Source organism: Homo sapiens, chromosome 7, assembly GCF_000001405.40.
Source record: "Homo sapiens chromosome 7, GRCh38.p14 Primary Assembly".
Lineage (NCBI taxonomy): Eukaryota > Metazoa > Chordata > Mammalia > Primates > Hominidae > Homo > Homo sapiens.
Window position 1 is genome coordinate 125,103,155 of NC_000007.14, and position 26,037 is coordinate 125,129,191.

The 26,037-nt window shown below is 37.6% G+C and overlaps 1 long non-coding RNA gene across 2 annotated transcripts in view; it reads left to right on the forward strand.

Annotated features, from left to right (window-relative positions):
- Positions 1-26,037, forward strand: part of POT1-AS1 (POT1 antisense RNA 1) — a 215,362-nt gene that overhangs the window by 173,282 nt on the left and 16,043 nt on the right. The window contains exons 5-9 of one of the 2 annotated variants that reach the window (NR_125718.1): positions 13,720-13,874; positions 15,475-15,568; positions 18,488-18,689; positions 19,827-19,921; positions 22,671-22,823. This is a non-coding gene — a long non-coding RNA (POT1 antisense RNA 1). The remainder of the gene's footprint in view (positions 1-13,719; positions 13,875-15,474; positions 15,569-18,487; positions 18,690-19,826; positions 19,922-22,670; positions 22,824-26,037) is intronic. The other variant, NR_125719.1, reaches the window with a different exon arrangement.

The window sequence follows — 26,037 nt, forward strand, 5'->3', positions numbered from 1 at the left end:
ATACATTCTATAACTAAGAAATTCATTCTCCCCTTAATGCTTATATGCTGCCACAGGGAAGAGAAGATCATTGCAGGTAGTTAATCACTGGCATTTCTTTTATAATATAGCTCTCAGATAGAGTTTTCTGACTGGAAAATGAAATAAATTTATTTCTTATTGATAAAAGGATTTTCACTTATTTCATATAACTGACACAAATATGAACAATCTCTATTTTACAATAAGTTGTAATCTTGCTATGCATAGTTAGCAATTTTGCCAGCATGCATAAAAACAATATAGGAGGCATATGTATACATTCAATGTACTCTAAAAATGTGAAGGAATAGATATCACTAAAAGTGAAAATTATATGCTAGCATAATGCCAGCAATATCCTAAGTCCTACACTATGCTTCTGGAAAGCTTGGTCTGGAAATACCACAGTTCAGTATGGTCGTAGGAGGCAGGGGTAGTTAGAAGAGTCAGAGTCAAAAGCAAAAAGACAAACACAAAACCACAATGAGATACCATCTCATGCCGGTTAGAATGGCAATCATTAAAAAGTCAGGAAACAACAGATTCTGGCAAGGATGTGGAGAAATAAGAACGCTTTTACACTGTTGATGAGAGTGCAAATTAGTTCAACCATGTGGAAGACAGTGTGGTGATTCCTCAAGGATCTGGAACCAGAAATACCATTTGACCCAGCAATCCCAGTACTGGGTATATACCCAAAGGATTATAAATCATTCTACTATAAAGACACATGCACACATATGTTTATTGCAGCACTATTTACAATAGCAAAGGCTTGGAACCAACCCAAATGCCCATCAATGATAGACTGGATAAAGAAAATGTGGCCCATATACACCATGGAATACTATGCAGCCATAAAAAAGAATGAGTTCATGTCCTTTGCAGGGACATGGATGAAGCTGGAAACCATCATTCTCAGCAAACTAACATAGGAACAGAAAACCAAACACCACATGTTCTCACTCATAAGTGGGAGTTGAGGAATGAGAACACATGGACTCAGGGAGGGGAACCTCACAGACTGGGGCCTGTCATGGGGTGGGGATCAAGATGAGGAAGAGCATTAGGACAAACACCTAATGCATGCGGGGCTTAAAACCTAGATGATGGGTTGATGGGTGCAGCAAACCACCAGGGCACGTGTATACATATGTAACAAACCAGCACATTCTACATATGTATCCCAGAACTTAGAGTAAAAAAAAAAAAAAGCGAAAAAGCAGAAAGCAGTGGGTTGTTGAAAAAGTTTGGAAAGAGAATCTGCTGAGACTACTTGGGTTTGGGCAAGGCAGACTGTAGGCCTTCAAATACTTAAAGATGCTCTATTTCTAGATATCCTTGGAGCAGTCTTCAAGTAGTTGCCACTGTTGAGATACTTTACATATAAACTTTTTGCTAGGTCAGCTCTCTTTAGTAATGTTTTCATTTAGATACACTCATTCAATACATTTATTTAAATACATTTGAAGATGATAATTCCACCTTGACCAAGTATGTGTGCAGCCACCAAAAACAGTGTCATTGAAATATCACTCACACCTAAGTTTTGCTTGATTTACATAGAATTCACCTGTAAGCATGGTTGAATTAATCTGAGAGGTTACTATCTCAACAATTTGTTAGGTAGATTGTTACTAACTAAAATGAACAATATATTTTGAAGAGCTTAATATTTAAACCATTTTAGACATGAACAAAAGTGGCTTTTTTTTCTGAAGTACTTAAGGCAATGCTAGGAGTGAAGAGTTAGAATAGCAATACATATATCCAGGTGTATGGAGAACCTGGAAGCCAGAGTTTGCATTAAATAACTCTCTTTGAAGCAAGGAAGCTTGTGAAACTGGATGTATTGTTTAAATAAATGGGTTTTAAAAATCTTATGCAAACAGGCACCTAGCAAATGGAAGGTCTTGCCATGGAGGGGGCTTTCTGGGTCCAACAGGATCCAAACCCATAGTGTTGCCTATGAGATGCCACAGCTGTGAACAGGTGAGCAAGAAAAAGTTAACCTGGGGTGAAAGAATTAGAAATAGGAGGTAACTGAAAAAACTTAGAAAGGACTAAGGAAACATGAATGCTAAAAGCAGGTAAAATGACAAGGCCAGGGGATGAGTGTAAGTGGCCACAATCAGTATCTATACTGTGCAAACAGAATTCTGCATGAGTACCGGTCACTGAAGCCCTTTCCTCTTTCTCCTCATTCATGAGCATCACTAACTCTGTACCTACAGCCATAGTATCCTGTCTTGGCGATGAATAACAGTTGTATTGATTCTCACAGCCTCGTTTTTTGCATAGCAACATATTTGGCCACATCTAGATCTAATATAATGCAAAGTCAACCAATTAAATATTTTAGTCAAATCAACCTTTTAACATTGGATAAATCAGGGATTTTGAAGCTCTTCAGGTCTATAACACATGTAGCTATTTCTTGGGATTTTTTTCTGCTAATTCTAGAATAGGCAAAGGACATGCAATTACAAAAAGGTCTTTTAAGGATACACAGACATTCTGCAGAAATATTGTAGGTTTGGTTCCAGACCACTGCATTAAGGAAATATCTCCATCAGATGAGACATGACATTTTTTAGTTTCCTTGACATATAAAAGTTATGTTTACATAATACTGCAGTCTGTTAAGTGTGTAATAGCATTATGTCTAAAGACAAAATGTACATACTTTAATTTAAAAATGCTCCATTGCCAAAAATGCTAACAAGCATCTGAGCCTTTAGTGAGTCCTAATGTTTTTGCTGGTGGAAGGTCTTGCCTGAATGCTGATGGCTGCTGACTGATCAGGTGATGGTTACTGAAGGTTTGGGTGGCTGTGGCAATTTCTTAAAATAAGACAACAGTGAAGTTTGCTGCATCAATTAACTGTTATTTTAATGAATGGTTTCTCTGCAATGCGTGATATTGTTTGTTAACATTTTACCCCCACAGTAGAAGTTTCAAAATAGGAGTCAAACCTTTCAACCCTGTCTGTATTTAGTAACTAAGTTTATGTAATATTCTAAAACTTTAATTGAAATTTCAACAATGTTCATAGCGTCTTCACCAGGAGTAGTTTCCATCTTAATAAACCACTTTCGTATGTTTATTGCGGCACTATTCACTATAGCAAAGACTTGGAACCAACCCAAATGTCCAACAATGATAGACTGGATTAAGAAAATGTGGCACATATACACCATGGAATACTATGCAGCCATAAAAAAGGATAAGTCCATGTCCTTTGTAGGGACATGGATGAAGCTGGAAACCATCATTCTCAGCAAACTATTGCAAAGACAAAAAACCAAACACCGCATATTCTCACTCATAGGTGGGAATTGAACAATGAGAACACTTGGACACAGGAAGGGGAACATGACACACCGGGGCCTGTTGTGGGGTGGGGCGAGGGGGGAGGGATAGCATTAGGAGATATACCTAATGTAAATGACGAGTTAATGGGTGCAGCACACCAACATGGCACATGTATACATATGCTACAAACCTGCACATTGTGCACATATAAAATTAAAAAAAAAAACTCTTTGCCCATCTATAAGAAGCAACTCCTAATTTGTTAAAGTTTTATCCTGAGATTACAGCAATTAAGTCACATCTTCAGGCTCTGCTTTTAACTTCAGTTTTCTTGCCATTTCTACAACATCTGTAGTTACTTCTTCCACCAAAATCTTAAACTCCTCAAAATCTTTTATAGGATTTGGGACCAACTTTTTCCAGATGCCTGTTAATGTTAATATTTTGACCTTCTCCAATGAATCACAAATGTTCTTAATGGCAGCTAGAATGGTGGATACTTTCTAGAAGATTTTAAATTTACTTTGCTCAGACCCATCATAGGAAGCACTGTTTATGGTAGCTATAGCCTTACAAAATGTATTTGTTAAATAAGACTTGAAAGTTGAAAATATCCTTTGATCCATGGGCTGCAGAATGGATGTCAAATTAGCAGGCATGAAAACAACATTAACTTCCTTGTACATCTCCATCAGAGCTCTTGTTTGACTAGACACATTGTCAATGAGCAGTAGTATCTTGAAATAAATTTTTCTTTCTGAGCAGTAGGTCTCAACAGGGCTTAAAAAATTCAGTAAGCCATGGCTTTGTTGTTCCATTTACAGAGCACAGGCAGAGTTGATTTAGTATAATTCTGAAGGACCCTAGGATTTTCAGAATGATAAATTAGCATTGGCTTCAACTTAAAGTCACCATTTGCATTGGTCCCTAACAAGAGGGGCATCATGTCCTTTGAAGCTTTGAAGCCAGGCATTGAGTTCTCTTCTCTAGCTATCAAAGTCCTAGATGGCATCTTATTTTAAGAGAAGATTGTTTTGTCTGTATTGAAAAATCTGCTGTTATGTGTAGCCACCTTCATCAATTGTCTTAGCTACATCTTGTGGATAAGTTGTGATTTATATTCTACATTAGCACTTACTGCTTCACTTTGCACTTCTATGTTATAGAGACAGCTTCTTTTTCTAAACTTCACAAATCAAGGTATGGTAGTTTCAGACATTTCTTTTGCAGCTTCCTCATCTCTGTTAGACATCATAGAATTGATGAAAGTTAGGGTCTGGGTCTGGATTAGGCTTTGGCTTAACAAAATGTTGTGGCTAATTTTATTTTCTATCCAGACCACTAAAACTGTCCCCATACCAGCAGTAATACTGTATTACTTTTGTGTTAGTCCATTGTCATACTACTATGAAGAAATACCCAAGACAGGTAATTTATAAAGAAAAAGTGGTGTAATGGACTCACAGTTCCACATGGCTAGGGAGGCCTCACAATCATGGCAGAAGACAAAGGAGGAGCAAAGGCACATCTTAAATGGCAGCAGGAAATAAAACATATGCAGGGGAACTGCCCTTTATAAAACCATCAGATCTTGTGAGACTTATTCACTATCATGAGAACAGCATGGGAAAATCAATCCCCATCATTCAATTACCTTCCACTGGGTCTCTCCTATGACATGTGATGATTATGGGAGCTACAGTTCAAGATGAGATTTGGGTAGGGACACAGCCAAACCATATCATTCCACCTCTGCCTCTCCCAAATCTCATGTCCTCACATTTCAAACAAATCATGCCTTCCCAACAGTCCACCAAAGTCTTAACTCATTTTAGCAGTAACTCAAAAGTCCACAATCCAAAGTCTCATCTGAGACAAGGCAAGTCCCTTCTGCCTACGAGCCTGCAAAATCAAAAGCAATTTAGTTACTTCCCAGATACAATGGAGGTATAGGCATTGGGTAAATATGCTTATTCCAGATGGGAGAAATTGGCCAAAGCAAAGGGGCTACAAGTCCCATGCAAGTCTAAAAGCCAGCAGGGCAGTCAAACTTAAAGCTCCAAAATTATCTCTTTGACTCCATGTCTCACATACATGTCACACTTATGCAAGAGGTAAGTTCCCATGCCCACAGTGGTGGGCAGCTCCAACCCTGTGGCTTTGCAGCATATAGCCCCCCTCCTCGTTGCTTTCATGGGCTGGCATTGAGTGCCTCTGGCTTTTCTATGTGCATGGTGCAAGCTGTTGTTTGATCTACCATTCTGGGGTCTGGAGGATGGTGGCCCTCTTCTCACAGCTCTACTAGGCAGTGCCCTAGTGAGGACTCTGTGTGAGGGCCCGTACCCTACATTTCCTTTCCACACTGTCCTAACAGAGGTTCTCTATGAGGGCTCCACCCCTGCAGCACATCTCTGTCTGGACATCCAGGTGTTTCCATACATTCTCTGAAATCTAGGCAGAGGTTCCCAAACCTCAATTCTTGACTTCTGCATACCTGCAGGCTCAACACCATGTGGAAGTTGCCAAGTCTTGGGTCTTGCACCCTCTAAAGCTATGGCTTGAGTTGTATCTTGGTCCCTTTTAACCACCGGCTGGAGCAGCGGTACACAGGGCCACAAGTCCCTGGGCTGCACAGAGCAGTGGGACCCTGGGATGGGCCCACAAAACCATTTTTCTCTCCAAGGCCTCTGGTTCCATGATAGTAGGGGCTTCCAGGAAGGTCTCTAATATGCCCTGGAGACATTTTCCCCATTGTTTTGGTGATTAACATTTGACTCTTTCTTACTTATGCAGATTTCTGCAGCAGGCTTCAATTTCTTCTCAGAAAATGTTTTTTTTCTATCTCATCATCAAGCTGTAAATTTTCCAAACTCTTATGCTCTGCTTCCCTTTAAATGTAAGTTCCATTTCAAACCATGTCTTTGTAAATGAGTAAAACTGAATGCTTTTAAGAGCACCCAAGTCACATCTTGAATGCTTTGCTGCTTACAAATTTCTTCTGCGTCATACCCTAAATCATCTCTCTCAAGTTCAAAGTTCCACAGATCTCTAGGGCAGTGGCAAAATGCCAGTCTCTTTGCTAAAGCATAAGAAGAGTCACCTTTGCTCTAGTTCCCAACAAGTTCCTCATCTCCATCTCAGGCCACCTCGGCCTGTACTTTATTGTCCATATCACTATTAACATATTGGTCAAAGCCATTCAGAACTCTAGGAAGTTCCAAACTTTCCCATGTCTTCCTGTCTTCTGAGCCCTCCAAGTCTCTAGGAAGTTCCAAATTTCCCCACATTTTCTTGTTTTCTTCTGAGTCCTTCAAACTGTTTCAACCTCTGCCTGTTACCCAGTTCTAAGGATGCTTCCATATTTTCCGGTATCCTTATAGCAGCACCCCACTCTACCAGTACCAATTTACTGTATTAGTCAATTTTCATACTATTATGAAGAAATACCTGAAACTGGGTAATTTATAAAGAAAAAAAAGGTTTAATGGACTCACAGCTGCACACGGCTGGGGAGGCCTCACAATCATGGTGGAAGGCGATGGAGGAGCAAAGGCACGTCTTACATGGTGGCAGGCAAGAGAGCATGTACAGGGGAACTGCCCTTAATAAAACCATCAGATCTCATGAGACTTATTCATTATCATAAGAATAGCATGGGAAAACCTGATCCCATGATTCAATTACCTCCCACTAGGTCCCTCCCATGACATGCGGGGATTATGGAAGCTACAATTTAAGATGAGATTTGCATGGGGACACAGTCAAACTATATCAAATTTCTTATCATTCATGCATTCAGTGGAGTAGCACTTTCAATTTCCTTCAAAAACTTTTCCTTTGCATTCATAACTTGGCTAAATGTTCGGCACAACAGGCTTATCTTTTAGCCTGTCTCAGCTTTCAACAAGCATTAATCACTTAGTTTGATTATTTATCACTAAGCTTTTGATATAAAAATGAGAGACATGCCACTCTTTTTTTCACTTGAACACTTGGAGGCCATTGTATGATTATTAATTTTCCTTATTTCAATATTGTTGTGTCTCAGGGAATAGGGAGGCCCATGGATACGGATCTACATGGGGTAATAGCCAGTAGGTGAAGCAGTCATAACACACACAACATTTATCAATTAAATTTGCCACTGTATATGGGTATGGTTCCTGGTACCCTAAAACAATTATAATAGTAACCTAAAAGATCACTGATCACAGATCACCATGACAGATATAATAACAATAAAAAAAATTGAAATAATTTGAGATTTACCAAAATGTGACACAGAGACATGAAGTGAGTACGTGCTGCTGGAAAAGTGGAGCTGATAGACTTGCTTGATGCAGGGTAGCCACAAACCTTCAACGTTTAAAAAGTGCAATATCTGCCAAGTGTAATAAAGTGAAGTGCAATAAAATGAGGTATGCCTGTACATGAAATATACTCCAGCCATTATCCCTTTTTTTGCACACTAGGTGATGGTATTATTATTTTATTTCCAGCCTTTTCTCTATTTTCCCAGCAAAACTGACAAATAGTGGTGTAAAATTTCAGGGGCATGGTGACTGTGTTTTGTTAAGAACATCTTTGTAGGAAACCAGCCTTCTGTTCTCGGGAAATATTGAACATAGAATTGCTAGAGCTCAGAGCTAGAGTGATTCAAAGATTACCTAGCCTAGTTCTTATATTACTGGTGCTCATTCTTCTCCCTGGCACTTTTTATCAATTTTGTATTTATTTGATTCCACCAGCAGACACTTACAGCACTATAAAGAGTACAATCATAGGTTGCCTAACAAAGGAGCTAGTTTCTGAGAAATGTGTTATCAGGTGATTTTGTCATTGTTTGGAAACCATTGACTGTACTTGCACAAATCTAAATGGTATAGCCTACTACCTACATAGGCTATATGGCATAGCCTACTGCTCCTGGATACAAACCTGTACAGCATGTTACTGTACTGAATACTGTAGGCAATTATAATACAGTGATGAGTATTTGCATATCTAAACATATCTAAGCATAAAAAAGGTACAGTAAAAATATAGTGTAAAAGATTAAAAAAAAGTAGACTTGTGTAGGGGACTTACCAGGACTGGAAGTTGTTCTGGGTGTGTCAGTGAGTGGATGGTAAGTGAATGTGAAGGCATAGAACATGACTGTTTACTACTATAGACATTTTAAATAATGTACACCTAGGCTATGCTAAATTCATAATTTTTTCCCTTCCTCAATAATAAATTAACTTTAGCCTACTGTAACTTTTTACTTTATAAACTTTTAACTTTTTCAACGTTTTTACTCTGTGGTTATAACACAGCTTAAAACACAAAACATATTGTACAGTTGTACAAAATTTTTTTTATAATCTTACTCTATAAGCATTTTTATTTTTTAAATTTATTTTTTTTTTTACTTTTTAAACTGTTTAAAAAAACCAAGACACAATAGCTGGCACAGTGGCATGTGCCTGTAGTCCCAGCTACTCCAAAGGCTGAGGCGGGAGGATTGCTTGAGGTCAGGAGTTCAGTCTGGACAACATAGCAAGACTCCATCTTTATTATAATAAGAAACCTCACCCAGCTACTTGAAAGGCTGAGGCAGTGGGAGTATCACTTGAGCTCAAGAATTTGAGCCTGTAATGAGCTATGATTATGACAGACTGCATTCTATCCTAGGCAACAGAGGGAGACTCTGTCTGTGAAACAAACACAGTAGCCTAGGCCTACACCGGGTCAGAATCATCAGTATCACTGTCTTTCACCTCCTTATCTTGTCTCACTGGAAGGTCTTCAGGGGCAATAACATGCATGGAGCTGTCATCTCCTATGCTAACAATGCCTTCTTCTGGAATATCCCTGAATGACCTGCCTGAGACTGTTTTAAGATTAACTTAAAAAAATAAGTAGAAGGTGTCTACTCTAAAATAATGATGAGATGTGTAGTATAGTAAATACATAAACCAGTAACATAGTCATTTAGTATCATCAAATGATATGGCTTGGCTGTGACCCACCCAAAATCTCATCTTGAATTGTAATAATCACCACATGTCAAGGGTGGGACCAGGTGGAGATAATTGAATCATGGGTCAGTTTCCCCCATTCTGTTCTCGTGATAGTGAGTGAGTTCTTAGAAGATCTGATGGTTTTATAAGGGGCTTCCCCCTTGGCTTGGCTGTTATTCTCTGATTCTTTCTCCTGCCACCCTGTGAAGAGGCGCCTTCTGCCATGATTGTAAGTTTCCTGAGGCCTCCCCCAGCCATGAGGAACTGTGAGTCAATTAAATCTCTTTTCTTTATAAATTATCCAGTTTTGGATATGTTTTTATTAGAAGCATTAGAACAGACTAATACACCTAGTATTATGTACTGTACATAATTATATGTGCTATGCTTTTATACAACTAGTAGTGCAGTAGGTTTGTTTACACAAGCATCCCCACAAACATGTGAGTAATGTGTTGTGCTATGACATTGCGACAGCTACTGCATCACTAGGAGATAGGAACTTTTCAGCTCCATTTTAATCTTATAGGACCACAGTTGTATATATGGTCTGTCATTGATTGAAACATTGCTATGTGGTACATAACTGTACGTTTATTGCCCAAAAAGTAATGTCCCTTCAAACCACTCCCAAATTAGTTTCATTAAGCTTATGTAAGTCTGAGTCATAATACCTCCAAAGATCACAAGTGAATATGATATACTCTGTGTGGTTGTATCCTTTTCTTCCTTTCCTTATATTTATACCCACAATTTACTTATTCCAATATTTAAATGTATGTCATGAAACCATCAATATAGGGTTGTGGAATGGGGAATGGCTACATTCTTTAAGTGGCACCCAGTTCACTGTAATTTTAAATGATTAAATGATCATAATAACAAGTTAAGTGTATGTGTTTAAGAGTATAAAAAAGTTAAGTTGTGGATAATCTGCATTCAGTGTTATTAAAGGTAGAAGACAGGGTTGTGAAATTTTAAAAAGCAGGATAAAAGTATTCAAGAGAAATGAAGTGTAATAAGGAGTAATCTAAAATGATTACAGATAAATCAGTGCTTAAAGATTGAAAATCATCTCAATGAGATGACTCAAGAATCAGAAAATTACTTTGGATGTTGGTAGAGTTGGCAAAATGACATATCTATATCTGCTTGGTCAGGTTTCACTATCTAATGTCTATTAGTAAATTAATTATTTTTACAACTAGAAATTCAACTAAGTATTTAAAAGCTAAGGATATAGGAAGAATTACAGACTGATAGAGAAGATGGGAGAAAAGAAAGAACAGAATAAAGAGGGGAAAAGAGAGAAAAGAGAGGGAAGAGGTAGGGCTGGGGGCAGTGGCTCACGCCTGTAATCCCAGCACTTTGGGAAGCTGAGGTGGGCGGATCACCTGAGGTCAGGAGTTCGAGACCAGCCTGACCAACATGGAGAAACCCTTTCTCTATTAAAAACACAAAATCAGTCAGGCGTGGTGGCACATGCCTGTAATCCCAGCTACTCGGGAGGCTGAGGCAGGAGAATTGCTTGAACCCAGGAGGCGGAGGTTGCGGTGAGCCAAGATAGTGCCATTGCACTCCAGCCTGGGCAACAAGAGCGAAGCTCCATCTCAAAAAAAAAAAAAAAAAAAAAAAATGAGAGGGAAGAGGCAGAAAAGAAGAGAGGAGGGAGAGAGAGAAAGAAAGAAAGATTGTGGGTACAGGATGCCGAATAACTTGATTTATAGTCACTCAAATCTTTTTGAAGATCAAATGGACCAAACAAAATAAATACAACAACAAAAGTCTGATGAGTGTTTAAGGTTTGTACTTTTAAAATGTTTATTCTTGAGTTTTGCATTCACATCTAGAGGAAAAGTCACAAGGCCCAGAACTAGCTATCAATTCCTAAAATAATTAAAAAGCCTGTAAGTATACATCACCCGGTAAACTCTCAGGGAATTGATCTCTCTAATTTTTCTCAGCTAATTTTGGTGCTGAATTAACATTTTCCTGAGCTTCTATGTGGAAATGCCATCACTATATAAATGTAAAGCATGTAGAAATGCTCTTCAGTCATTCCCAATGAGCCCCTACCTCATTATATATATTTATTATATATACACATATATATTTATTATACATATACACATTATATTTATTATATATACACATATATGTGTGTATATATATTTATATACACATATATGTGTGTATATATATTTATATACACATATGTGTGTGTATATATATTTATATACACATGTGTGTGTGTGTGTATATATATATATTTATTTATTTATTTATTTTTGAGACGGGATCTCAATCTGTCACACAGGCTGGAGTGCAGTGTTGCTACCTCAGCTCACTGCAACCTCTGCCTCCTGGGCTTAAGCCATCCTCTGAAGTCAGCCTCCTGAATAGCTGGGACTTCAGGCATGCACCACCACACCCAGCTAATTTTTTTAATTTTTGTAGAGTCAGGGTCTCACTTTGTTTCCTGGGCTGGTCTCTTGGGCTCAAGTGATCCTCCTGCCTCCACCTCCCACCTCCACCTCCCAAAGTGCTGGGATTACAGGCATGAGCCACTGTGCTCGGCCCCTACCTCATTAATGAATCATTAAAGAAAATTATTTATTTTTTCTCTATTAGGAAAGGGGCATTATAAAGAGGGAAAAAATAATAAAAATAACATTTCAGAAATGCAGCTATTGATTTACTTACTATACTATGATAACCTTTGAGTTAAAGATAAACAAATAATGTAACTAACTGGGGAGCATTTTCTTTGGGTTAAGACTTTTACTATCATTTAGAAATCAAAGTTTGTTGGACCGTGGACAAAAATTAGTGGACTGAGGCTGTCCTTCATAACTTCTTAGTTTCTGCTGTCTCTTCTTCATTAAATGAGGTCTCCTTTCCCTCCTGCCAGACACTGGCTACTCTAATGCTTCCAAGGCAATTCTACACCACTTTTGTAGGACTTATGTGACTGTAGTATATTATCTGCCTTTGTGTCCAGTTGCACTAGGCTGACAGCTCCTTGAGGACAGTACCTGCTTGTTTACGATTATATATTTAATAACTTTAACCACTGTCCAGTGAAGGCAAAGTCCCCACTTCTGGGATGCAGGTTACACCACATAATAGCAGAGTGTCAGTGAATTTTTCATAGAATAACTTGCCCCAACCCAACTTACACCAATCATGCCATAATTTATTAACTATTTATTGGGCACCTGCTTGAGTCAAGCACTCTTCCTGGGACTGAGGACAGATTTGTGAATGAAACTGACCATGTCCCTGACCTCATGCAACGTGAATTCTGGTAGGAAGACATATGAATAAATAAAGATACAGTTATACCAGTATAAGAATAAATAGAAGGCAGAATAAAAATGTAAATTGTAATGAGGGTAATATTTCAGTTAGATGGTCAGTTTAAATTGAATGATCATATTTTTCTGGATTTCTGAATTTACCTTCTCACTTAAGCCTTTGGCTTGCCTGTCTTATTAGGTGCCAAGTTCCACATATTTGGTCTAGAATTTTCTATTGTTTCCTTTTGACTCTCCTTTGGCTAGGGCCACCTTTAGCTATAAGACAAACCCCCATCACATCTATTTTGAGCTGTCTTCAGAACACCATATATCTAAATGGAAGGGGAAGGGGCTCCAATGATGAAGTATATAGTGGCAACCCGTTTGTGGATTTACCCAGTACCTCTTCTCTTTTTCTGAGACCTCCACTTCTCTTGTAGGGACAATCTTTACATTGCATTTAAGTATGGCTTCTCTTAAGAATTGACACCATTCTATCTAATCCCTGTGCCAGTCACAGAGTGGGGCAATTATACAAGCTAAGATAATCACAGTAATCTATCTTTCTGATTACAGTGATTATATGAAGATGGGCATTTAGCTCAAACTAGGCCAGAATTCTTGTTCAGGATTTTAAAAGTAGAACAAGTAGATAAGAATGTCTTTTTTCTCTGATCACAGAGTCCTAGGGTGTTATGTTATTAAAGTTATTCAGAAAACAGAATCCATTCTAGGTATTCCTGTTGTTATGGGGTTTTAATATGGAGAGCTAGGAGTTTACACTTATTGGAAGAGCTGAGGAGTTAAGGTTGGAGAAACCAGCACTGTCTTTTTCCACTGTGGAACTGCAGCTCTTCCAGAATTAGGGATAGTCTCTAGGAATTTCCCACCAATTGCTGCAGTCTGCTGCAGTTAAGTGGCAAATCAGGGTGCTGATGTGAGTCTTACTATGTTCATCTGTGCTCTTTCTCTCCCACCTTCCAAATTTTGAGTGCTTCTCATTCCAAAGTTAACGCCCATACTATACAACAAAGGAGATTCTTGGAAATGTATTTCCTAGTTTTTCTTCTGTGTTACAGAGTCCTCAGAAGGGAAGATAGTGTTAATGTAGAATTGATAACACAGAATGCACCACTGCTGTGATCCTTATATCTTGGCTGGCCATTACCCCTCCACTTGGAAATGAAAAAGATAAACTAATTGAAGCAGTGAGAAGAGAAAAAGGGAGAGGAAGGTAAGACAGAGACGGGGAGGGAGAAACCCAAGTGTATATATTTAATCAGGAAATAGTTTCTATTATTTTAGGAGGGATGGCTAAGTCTTTAGAGTTTATTTTAATGTATAGATTACCCCCACTTTTAATTTTTTATTATACTTTATTTATTGAATAAATCCAGTTGATTTTGACCTTTGGGCTTTCCCAGATTCTTGGGTCTATTGCATTCCCATGAGATAGTTTAACATGCTTCCCTGTCCTTTGTGTTAGAAATTGGATCTAGAGGTTGGATTCCAGTTATGTTGAATTTGTTTGGCAAAACTACTTCATAGCTTTTAATTGTGTTCTTTCAGGAGACAAAATCTTTGTTTGTCTTTTTGTTATGGTAGTATAGATGTTCAATGTCTATCACATTGACTCCTTTAAGAATATGTATGACTGGGCATGGTGGCTCTTGCCTGTTATCCCAGCACTTTGGGAGGCTGAGGCAGGTGGATTACCTGAGGTCAGGAGTTTGAGACCAGCCTGACCAGCATGGCAAAGCCCTATTTCTACTAAAAAAAAAATAAAAATACAAAAATTAGCCCAGCATGGTGGCTCATGCCTGTAATCCCAGCTACTCGGGAGGCTGAGGCAGGACACTTGCCTGAACCCAGGGGGCAGAGGTTGCCGTGAGCTAAGATTGCACCATTGCACTCCAGCCTGGGCAACAGAGCAAGACTCAATCTCAAAAAGAAAAAAAAAGAATATTTATTTGTTCATATGGTAATTTCTTAAAGGAAAACTTCTCATATGGGAAAGGAAAATATGTAATAACAAAAATTAATTTCCTGCAATCTTCCAAAGGAGAATAATATATTTTAAAAGTTTAAATTTTAAAGTTCTATTTTTAAAACACCTCAGCAAGAGAAATATTGTATATAGTCATACACACATGTATAATTAAGACCATATCAGAAAACCTATACATAAGATGCTCTCATTAATCCTTCATTATTATTTATTTGACCTTAATTTTCACATTCTAAATTTTAGTTCCTTAATAACTAGTAGCGAATCTATGATAGAAAATTGTCTGGAAGATCTAATGACCTAATGGCAATGATAGCCTAGAGAGAGAAATTTTTTCTTTCACTATAAGTATTTATTGCATTCAATACACCCAAAGGTGAATATGTTTGAACACACAGAACATTTTTGTATTCAATAAATATGTATTTCAACAAACAGCCCAATAAAACAGTTTTCCAAAAGCTTTCTACACAAAGTCTTAATTTCATTAAAGGAACATCTTTGTGTTTAAACCACTCAAGGCAATGTTACCAATATAGAGGATTTTGACTTTTTAAGTTGATATAAAACTTAATTTGGCGGCAAGTTTTTTTAATATAATTTGGATATTCGTCCCTGCCCAAATCTCATGTTGAAATGTAATCCCTAGCCAGTGTTGGAGGTGAGGCTTGGTGGGAGGTGTTTGAATTATGGGGGTGGATCCCTCATGCATGGCTTGGGCCTTCCCCTTGGTGCTAAGTGAAATCTAGCTCATTTAAAAGTGTGTGGCACCTCCCCCACCACTCTCTCTCTCTCTTGCTCCTGCTTTTGCTATGTGATGTGCCAGGTTCCTCTTTGCCTTCAACCATGAGTAACAGCTCCCTGAGGCCTCCCCAGAAGCTGAGTAATGCTGGTGCCATTCTTACACAGCCTGCAGAACCGTGAGCCAATTAAACCTCTTTTCTTTATAAATTGCCCAGTATCAAGTATTTCTTTACAACAATGCAAGAACAGCCTAACTACAGTGCACATGGAGAATTTATTGCAAACTATGTGGTATACAGACTATTTTTGTTTTTGTCACTCAGTGACATTCAATCATCTCTTAAATCATCCACAGACAAGAAATTGTGGCGGTAGTCAATGATCGTAATTAAAAGCAAGGATCCTACTTTCAGGACAGTGGCATCAAGTATACCACTTTGAAAGTGATTTTTTTTGGTTTGAGATTTTTGTAATGATTGCATGTTTACATCCTAAAATTATTCCATATGGCTTGTAGGAAACAAACATGCCATTTAGGTCTGCTGTAGCCTTATTTAAAGGTTTCCCTCTCAACACTACAGTATATAGCAAAGAAAAAAACCAGACCACTAACAGAACATCTCACTATCTGTTGATATTCAGAGGAGCAAAGCTTGAAAAGGGTTTTGAAAAGGATGTTAGAAAGCAAGAATTTCTAGAACATATGATGACTAACCTATATAGTTGAGTGCTTATAAATCACCTAAATGTATACTGAAGTGTTTAGAGAGATTGACTTCTATTTAACTTCTTGTTAAGAATTATCTAAATCAAAGATCAAGCTGTAAGATGATGACAAATTTATCTACTAGTGAATCTTATTTATATAGCAGAGCAATAGCACATTTAAGAACTTGTAAATTTAGATTCTCCTCAGATGTGAAGACGTTAACACTACGCTATGATTCAACAATTAGCACATTACAAATATGTTACTTTTCAGATATTTGGATGCAATAATATTTTTGACATTTGAACACTAGTAAATTTTTGTCATAAAGTACTTATTTCAGAATAATTTAAATTTTAAAAATGTGGTACTCTCACTTCTGCTTTTTTTTTCTCCTTTTGTGGACAAAAACACAAAATATGAATTGATTTATGTTTAAAAGTTGAAAATAAATAACACCTACGTAGGTGCTAATCAGCAGGTTTTGCTTTCTACTTCTTGTGAATAAGAAAAGAGAGCTTTAACTCAGTACTCGCACGTCTTCAGGTTTTTGAATTATTCACTGGGCTAGAGCTTCATGCTCTGGCTGAGCTGACATTTCAGGTAAGCTTCTCAAGGGAAGTGTGCTTCCTAGAGACAAGGAGATTTATATAAGCACACGACAATAAAGCATGAGTAAGTACAACCTAGGCAACTCATGTGTGGGTGCCATTCATTTGAGTTAAACAGTTACTAAAAGTATTTACTGCCTTGTGAATAGAAAACAAGACACTTGAGTTGGATGAAAATATCATCTGTCTGAATATCATAAACAGAATTTGAAGCTACATGGGCTAACAAGTCTGTCCTGAACTGAGTTTCTGGGTGGAAGAGTCTAATTGAAACAATTGTTGACTTTTTATTAGGTAATGAATATATTTGTTTTTAAGCTTAGATTTCAATTTGTTATATGGTTTGCTTAATAAAGTCCCAAATATTTTTATAATATAAACTACCTCTTTCAAAAAAGAAATAGATTTAAAAAATTAAAAAACCAAAGGGATTTAACTTGTAGTGCTAAGCTGAGAAATTATTTTTCTATTATGTTTAAGATAATATAATTTATTAAAATTTGATTTGGATATATTTTTTCAGGAATAAAACTCATATATGAAGCAAGATACTGAAAGAATATAATGTAGACATCAATCTAAATAAATGGAAAAAGTTTAAAAATTATTTCTTTGTATTAACATATGATCAAAATTGACAGTTTGACATAGCCAAAGAATTAACCAACTCAATTACTAATCAGTGAAATAGACAAATTGTTCTCAGATACAGTCTGAAATCTATTAATAAATTCTGTGGTCATAAGTTATCACATACTTTCCATATGAATTTTCAAGCTCCAAATCAATGAGTAAGATTATCACACCATGTTTGTGACAATTAACAATTTAAAATGGAGAATAAGATAACAATATAGGCTTGATTAAAAGGGCTTAGCCATAGATATTATGAAAACAGGCAATGTGTGACTGCTTTAAAGCAACATACATATGTCTGAGGATTCTCAGCAGGGATTACGCCTGGGTTTAGCACCATTTTCAAGTATTTCAGCAAAATAACATTGGAGTGAATGGAATAATAACTTGTGTTTTAGGAATAAAATAGTTACCTTATTGCATAATATTGCTTCCCTTCAGTGCTTGTTATCATAGGGGAAAAAAACAAAAACAAAAACAAAATTTGGGCTTTGGCCCAATTCCAAATCCATTTTTTGCTGAAACAAAGATACTTTGTTATGGAATGGATTTTAGTATGTTGACAAAACAAGCAAACAAAAATCTAGAACAGTATCATCTCTGGTCACATAGCAAGTCTCAACAAATCACAGACATGAGCAATATCACTAAATAATGCAAATTTTCTTTAACACAAGTTATCATGGAAAGGGGCAGCTCAGGAACAGAGTGAAAAGATAAAAATTAAATCCTAGAAAAATGTACATGTGCTGCTCTGAGATGCAGAGTAAAGAGCTGAAATTATTTCCCAATATTTTGACTTCACCTGACAAAACCATCTAGCCAAAAAAAGAGAATTAGAGGGTGAAAGAGAGAGACAATTCATTGTAATATTCTGTTCACTACTAAGAGTCAAAAGTGAAAACAGCAATTTTAGTCTCCTGTAACTTTGAGGAGTAGTATACTAGTATACTTTATTTTTCTCTATATAATAGATTCTCTGCATGCACTGAACAATTCCATTAGAAAAATGTTAAAAATAAATGGTATAAATTGCATATTATTATTATTCCTGTATTTATGCTAACAGAGTTGTTATTGAGTATGGATTTTTTTGGTCTGTGACTGTAATCCTCTATGATTTCTTTCTTTTTGACAAGAGGCCAAGGACAATTTGATGCCACCATTTCTTCTGGATCAGTTACCATTAGTGACCTATAAATATGGTGAAATAAGTTACTATTACCCTGAGGCAGCAAGGATTTTAGGACTCAGACTCCGTCTTTCTGCCCTTCGTCCTATCTCACCTTAATGGAACGGAATGCCTCAGTACATTTTGTGACAACCTATATAGCTTGATGGGTTAGTTTGCTCACTGGGTAATACAGTTACAATAATTTATACCTCATATTGTCCTACAAATGCCCTGGCTCTGGGCTCCACTCTACTTAATACTTCTTCACAGAAACTTTCAAGGCCAAAATGTATCTTAAGATATTCATAAGCAACCCTTACCAAAAATGATTGTACAAATATTCATTTGGGGTGAGGGATTATCTAGGTTTCTTTTTTTTTTTTTTTACCTTTTCAAAAAAAATTGTCTCATTGTGATTGCAGTGAAGTTAAAAGTTGTTATCCAGTTGGTGCTAGCTATCACAATGAAAAGATTTTATTTTGGATCTGGATCATTTCCATTCCAATAAATAAATCAACAAGCACATTTTCGTGTCTCTGTCTTTTTAAGTGTGCAAGCCACAATTTTGCTAGGGTTGCTTAGCAACCACAAAGTAGTGAGCTAGCAGGATTGAAGAGTGCAATAAAATAAGCAGTTATATTTATGTACTTACATTGAGAGGGATCATGTTGGTATGGTCAGCCTACAGGCCTATGAAATTTACAGCATTCATTGTTAAAATTGTGGGCCAGTTTTACAATAGTTATCTTTAGTCATCAAGTCCAATTGCATTACAGTGCTGAGGAATACCATCTGCTGGTTTCTTACGTAGTTATTCACTATATTACCACTCAGGCTTTGTAAAGATTTCAATGAGCAGTTTACTCTTAAAATAGATGGTATATAAGAAAGATTTAAGTAGAGTTCCCAAGCATCCTTTTTCAACATTTTAAAACTTACGGCAGGATTTGGTTTGTTTTTCTTCCTTCTGTTTGTTTCATGAATTCTATCTTAATGGTTTAAGTGGAAAACACTTAGTGAATGTAATATGTTTTAAGAGACACAACTGAAATTTTTGTCTATATAAAGTCAAAGGAATAAAATATCCAGCTCACTTACAGTAGCAAGTATGCTACAAATATATGCTAATTGAATAGCTATAAGTTTAATTACTTTTGATCAGAAAATTCTCCCTTATTTACATTAAGGAATACACATTGAAAGCTTTAGAAGAACATGGTCTAAATGCTATAAATGGGTCTGCTTTCTGGGCCACTAAGAAAGCCATTTATTCAATCATCTTTCTTTTTAAATTATACTTTAAGGTCTGGGATACACGTGCAGGACATGCAGGTTTTATTACATAGGTATACATGTGCCATGGTGGTTGCTGAACCTATCAACCCATCATCTACATTAGGTATTTCTCCTAATGCTATTCCTCCCCTTCCCCCTAACCCCCGACAGGCCCCAGTGGGTGATGTTCCCCTCCCTGTGCCCATATGTTCTCATTGTTCAACTCCCACTTATGAGTGATAACATACGGTGTTTGGTTCTCTGTTCCTGTGTTAGTTTGGTGAGAATGATGGTTTCCAGCTCCATCCGTGTCCCTACAAAGGACATGAACTCATTCTTTTTTATGGCTGCATAGTATTCCATGGTGTATATGTGCCACATTTTCTTTATCCAGTCTATGATTGCTGGGCATCTGGGTTGGTTCCAAGTCTTTGCCATTGTGAATAGTGCTGCAATAGACATATCTGTGCATGTGTCTTTATAGTAGAATGATTTATAATCCTTTGGGTATATACCCAATAATGGGATTGCTGGGGCAAATGATATTTCTGGTTCTAGATCCTTGAGGAATCACCACACTGTCTTCCACCATGGTTGAACTAATTTACACTCCCACCAAGAGTATAAAAGCGTTCTTATTTCTCCACATCCTCTCCAGCATCTGTTGTTTCCTGACTTTTTAATGATTACCATTCTAACTGGCGTAAGATGGTATCTCATTGTGGTTTTGATTTACATTTCTCTAATGACCAGTAATGATGAGCTTTTTTTCATATGTTTGTTGGCCACAGAAATGTCTTCTTTGAGAAGTGTCTGTTCATATCCTTCACCCACTTTCTGATGGGGTTGTTTTTTTACTTGTAAATTTGTTTAAGTTCCTTGTAGATTCTGGATATTAGCCCTTTGTCAGATGTAGATAGATTGTAAAAATTTTCTCCCATTCTATAGGTTGCCTGTTCACTCTGAGGATAGTTTCTTTTACTGTGCAGAAGCTTTTTAGTTTAATTAGATCCCAGTTGTTAATTTTGACTTTTGTTGCCATTGCTTTTGTTGTTTTAGTCATGAAGTCTTTGCCCATGCCTATGTCCTGAATGGTATTGCCTAGGTTTTCTTCTAGGGTTTTTATGGCTTTAGGTCTTACGTTTAAGTCTTTAATCCATCTTGACTTAATTTTTGTATAAGGTGTAAGGAAGGGTCCAGTTTCAGTTTTATGCATTTGACTAACCAGTTTTCCAAACATCATTTATTAAATAGGGAATCCTTTCCCCATTGCTTGTCTTTGTCAGGTTTGTCAAAGATCAGATGGTTGTAGATGTGTGGTGTTATTTCTGAGGCCTCTGTTCTGTTCCATTGGTCTATATATCTGTTTTGGTACCAGTACTATGCTGTTTTGGTTACTATAGCCTTGTAGTATAGTTTGAAGTTAGGTAGTGTGATGCCTCCAGCTTTGTTCTTTTTGCTTAGGATGGTCTTGGCTATACGGGCTCTTTTTTGGTTCCATATGAAATTTAAAGTAGTTTTTTCTAATTCTTTGAAGAACGTCAGTGGTAGCTTGGGGAATAGCACTGAATCTATAAATTACTTTAGGCAGTATGGGCCTTTCACGATATTGATTTTTCCCATCCATGAGCATGGAATGTTTTTCCATTTGTTTGTGTCCTCTCTTATTTCCTTGAGCAGTAGGTTTGTAGTTCTCCTTGAAGAGGTCCTTCACATCCCTTGTAAGGTGTATTCCAAGGTATTTTACTCACTTTGTAGCAATTGTGAATGGGCGTTCATGCATGATTTAGCTCTCTGTTTGTCTATTATTGGTGTATAGGAATGCTTGTGATTTTTGCACATTGATTTTGTATCCTGAGATTTTGCTGAAGTTGCTTCTCAGCTTAAGGAGTTTTTGGGCTGAGACGATCGGGTTTTCTAAATATACAATCATGTCATCTGCAAACCGAGATAATTTGACTTCCTTGTTTCCTATTTGAATACCCTTTATATCTTTTTCTTGCCTGATTGCCCTGGGCAGAACTTCCAATACTATGTTGAATAGTCGTGGTGACAGAAGGCATCCTTGTCTTATATTGATTTTCAAAGGGAATGCTTCCAGCATTTCGCCCCTCCCCCCACAAAGCTTTTGCGTCCCAGGTCAATTTCAGACTGCTGTGCTGGCAGCAAGAATTTCAAGCCAGTGGATCTTAGCTTGCTGGGCTCCGTGAGAGTGGGATCCGCTGAGCTAGACACTTGGCTCCCTGGCTTCAGCCCTTTTTCCAGGGGAGTGAACGGTTCTGTCTCGCTGCCGTTCCAGGTGTCACTGGGGTATGAAAAAAAAAACTCCTGCATCCAGTTTGGTGTCTACCCAAACGGCCACCCAGTTTTGTGCTTGAAATCAAGGGCCCTTGTGGTATAGGCACCCGAGGGAATCTCCCGGTCTGTGGGTGGTGAAGACCATGCGAAAAGTGTAGTATCCGGGCCGGAATGCTCCGTTCCTCATGGCACAGTCCCTCATGGCTTCCCTTGGCTAGGGGAGGTAGTTCCCCGACCGCTTTCGCTTCCCAGGTGAGGTGACACCCCAGCCTGCTTCTGCTCGCCCTCCATGGGATGCACCCACTGTATAACCAGTCCCAGTGAGATGAACCGGTACCTCAGTTGGAGATGCAGAAATCACCGGCCTTCTGCGTTGGTCTCGCTGGGTGCTGTACACTGGAGCTGTTCCTATTTGGCCATCTTGCCCAGGAGCCTCTCAATCATCGTTTAGAAGCTTATTATTTGTTATTATACACTGACCTGATCATTAAGGGAAGAAAAAAAGTGTTTTTTTTTTTTGCCATCCGGAAAGTCACAATATAGTGAAAGTGCTAATATTGATACATTTTAAACAGGTGCTATTGTGGAGGTGCATACCCAACAGTTTGATAATGTAGAGGAAGTGATAGCTTTGTCTCGTGGAATCTGGGTCGACCTCACAGAGGAGCTGTTATTTGTTCTGGATATTGAACAGTGACAAGGATTCAGTGGGAGAGAAAGAGGCGAGGGTAAGTAACTCAATGACACTGAGTGCATTTTCCTGTGGATGGGTAATGGGGAGCTGGGCTCAGAAGCAGGCACATTCAGGGGACAACCACTCTGCCCCAGCTGTCTGGAAGTGATACTGGGTCATGTGGAATTGGAAGACATACCACCATAGAGGTAAATTTAGTCCAGCTGGTTTTGCAAAGAAATTTATTCTGGAAAATTTAGAGTGTTTTAGGCCATTTATGCATTTCTATTAAAAAAAACCTGAGATTGGGTAACTTATAAAGAAAAGAGGTTTAATTGGCTCATGGTTCTGCAGGCTGTATAAGCATGTCACTGACATCTTTCAGCTTCTGGGGAGGCCTCAGGGATCTTTTGACTTATGGCGGAAGATGAAGCAGGAACAGGCACATCACATGGCAAAAGCAGGAGCAAGAGACAGAGAGTGGTGGGAGGGAAGTGCCATTTACCTTTAAATGACCAGATCTCAGGAGAACTCACTCACCATCTGGAGGACAGCACCAAACCATGAAGGATCCACCCCCATGATCTAATTGCCTCCCACCAGGCCCCACAGGGCATTACATTTCAACATAAGATTTAAGTGGGAACAAATATCCCAGCTATTTCACAGAAACAGTCAACATAAATAATAGGTCTAAAGGGCCTAAGTTTTCTCTAGGCTTCTATCCAACTTGTGGGCTTTCCTGCAAGCCTTATTTGTGTATCACCAACTACACAAATAGGCTGAATACTTACACAAAAGGATTTGTACTTCATACAATTTCTGAAATTCGATTTGCAAAGAATTTCCCATATTGGGTGCCAGACTTATTATTGCCACAGCTGTCATCAACTCCAGCAAGGAATCTTTCTAAAATCTATCAACTTCCACATCTCACATTTCCCCCTCCACAAGCTCCCCATGGCGTCTAGTTAAAAAAATATGTAGCTAATAGCATATTAGAAACTTAGTAAGATGTGAAAATCTTTTTTTTTCTTATTACAAATTTCTTGAACTGTTGTCAGAAAACAACATATTTGGGTTTTCTGGGGGGTGTCAGTCATCTGATATCCCCCAAACAACGTGTTGTTTGGATATGTGTGTGTGTGTGTGTGTGTGTGTGTGTGTGTGTACACATATATATACACACACATACATACATATATACACACACACACACACATATATATATATGTATCAGCCAACTTGGAAAGTCAGATTTAATTCTTCTGTGGTTATTTGACTTTCCAGGTTTACTATTTCTCATGTCCCAGTAAAGCTTGGAAACAACATCACTATCACTGGGCACTGAGGATATATTCAGAGTAACATAGCTCTACCAAACTGGATATGTGAACAATCAAATAGAAAAGATCCATGTAAGACAGAGAGTCATCTGAAAGCTATTGATATGGCAAAATGAAGCCAGGCAACTGCAAGCAATTGAGCAGAATAAAATCCATGACAAGAATACCGTGAAATATTTCACTACTTGACTCTGAGTGACACTACCATTTATTCCTGGGAAGTGACAGAAACAGGTGAATCACCAAAAGATTCCTTTAAACAAATGTAACATGAAGCCGGAGTCAAGAAACAGAGCCATTAGCAGTACGACTGCAGCCACATGTGTTATTTTAGCCTCACTCCTGTACCACGGAAGCCCTTTTACCATCAATGGTAATTTTGTCAATTTGCTAGCAAAGGTCAAAAATAGAATATTGGCATAGCCTCATGAGTTCTAAAAGAGGAGCTTTAGGAAGAAAGCAGGTGGCTTTATACACTACTCTGAGTAATTCATGTTTCCCAGTTTGAATCCTACATCTGAGAAGGAAATGGATATGGCATCTGTTCTCTCACGTGTTTAATTTTTTATTAAACTTTTTTGGTTTGAGATAATTGTAGACTTACACTAATAAGAAATAATACAGAAATCTTACCTATTTTTTACCCAGTTTCCCCCAAAGGTAACATCAAGCAATTCTGTAGTACAATATAACACTCAGGACACTGACATGGACACTATCAACAAAGAGCATTTCTATCACCATAGGAGTCCTCCTGTTAACTTTTGATAGCCAAACCACCTTTCCCTCTGCCCCAGCCCCATTTTAACCCTTGACAATCACTAATATGTTTTCTAGTTTTATATTTTTGTCACTTCATGAATATTACATAAATGGAATCATACAGCATGTGTGGTTTTTCACTGATCATAATTATCTGAAGATTCATCCAGGTTGTTGAATGTATCAATAGTTCTATTCCATAGTATGAATGTACCATTGTTTGTGTAAGCATTGAAAGACATCTTAGTTTCTTCCAAGTTTTAGTAATTATAAGTAAATCTGCTATAAACACTTGTGTACAGGGTATTGTGTGGACATACGTTTTCAACTCATTAGGGTAAGTGCCAAGGAGTGTGAATGTTAGATTGTATGGTGTGAGTATGCTTGTTTTGTAAACTGTTTTTCAAATTGGCTGTGCCATTTTGCATTCCGACCAATGATGAACAGGAGCTCCTGTTGTTCTACATCCTTACCAGCATTTGATGTTGCCGGTGTTTTATCTTAGCCATTCTAATAGATGTGTAGTGGTATCTCATTGTTTTAATTTGCAATTCTCTAATTACATATAATGTTGTGTGTCTTTTCATATGCTTATTTTCTATCTATATGCCTTCTTTGGTGAGATGTCTGTCCGGATGTTTTACTAATTTTTAACTGCGTTGTTTGTTTTCTTATAGCTGAGTTTTAAGAGTTCTTTGTATATTTTGGTTATCAGTCCTTTATCAGATATGGGTTTTGCCAAGATTTTCTCACAATTTGTCATTTGACTTTTCATTCTAATACTGTCTTTCACAGAGCCATTTTTAATTTTAATGAAGTCCAACTTGAGAGTTTTATCTTTCATGATTATGCTTTCAGTGTTTTATCTAAAAAATCATCGCCAAACCCAAGGTCACCTACTGTTTTTCCTACGTTATTTTCTAGGAGTTTTATACTTTTCTGTCTTGCATGTAAGTCTCTGACCCATTTTGACCTAATTTTTTGAAAGGTGTAAGGCTGTGTCTCGATTCAGTTTTTTTGCATGTGAATATACAGTTTTTCCAGCACTATTTGTTAAAATGACTATCCTTTATCCACTGAATTTCATTTGCTCCTTTGTCAATAATCAGTTGTCTCATTAATCATGGAATAGATATCTCTATTCTTTCATGAACACCTCAC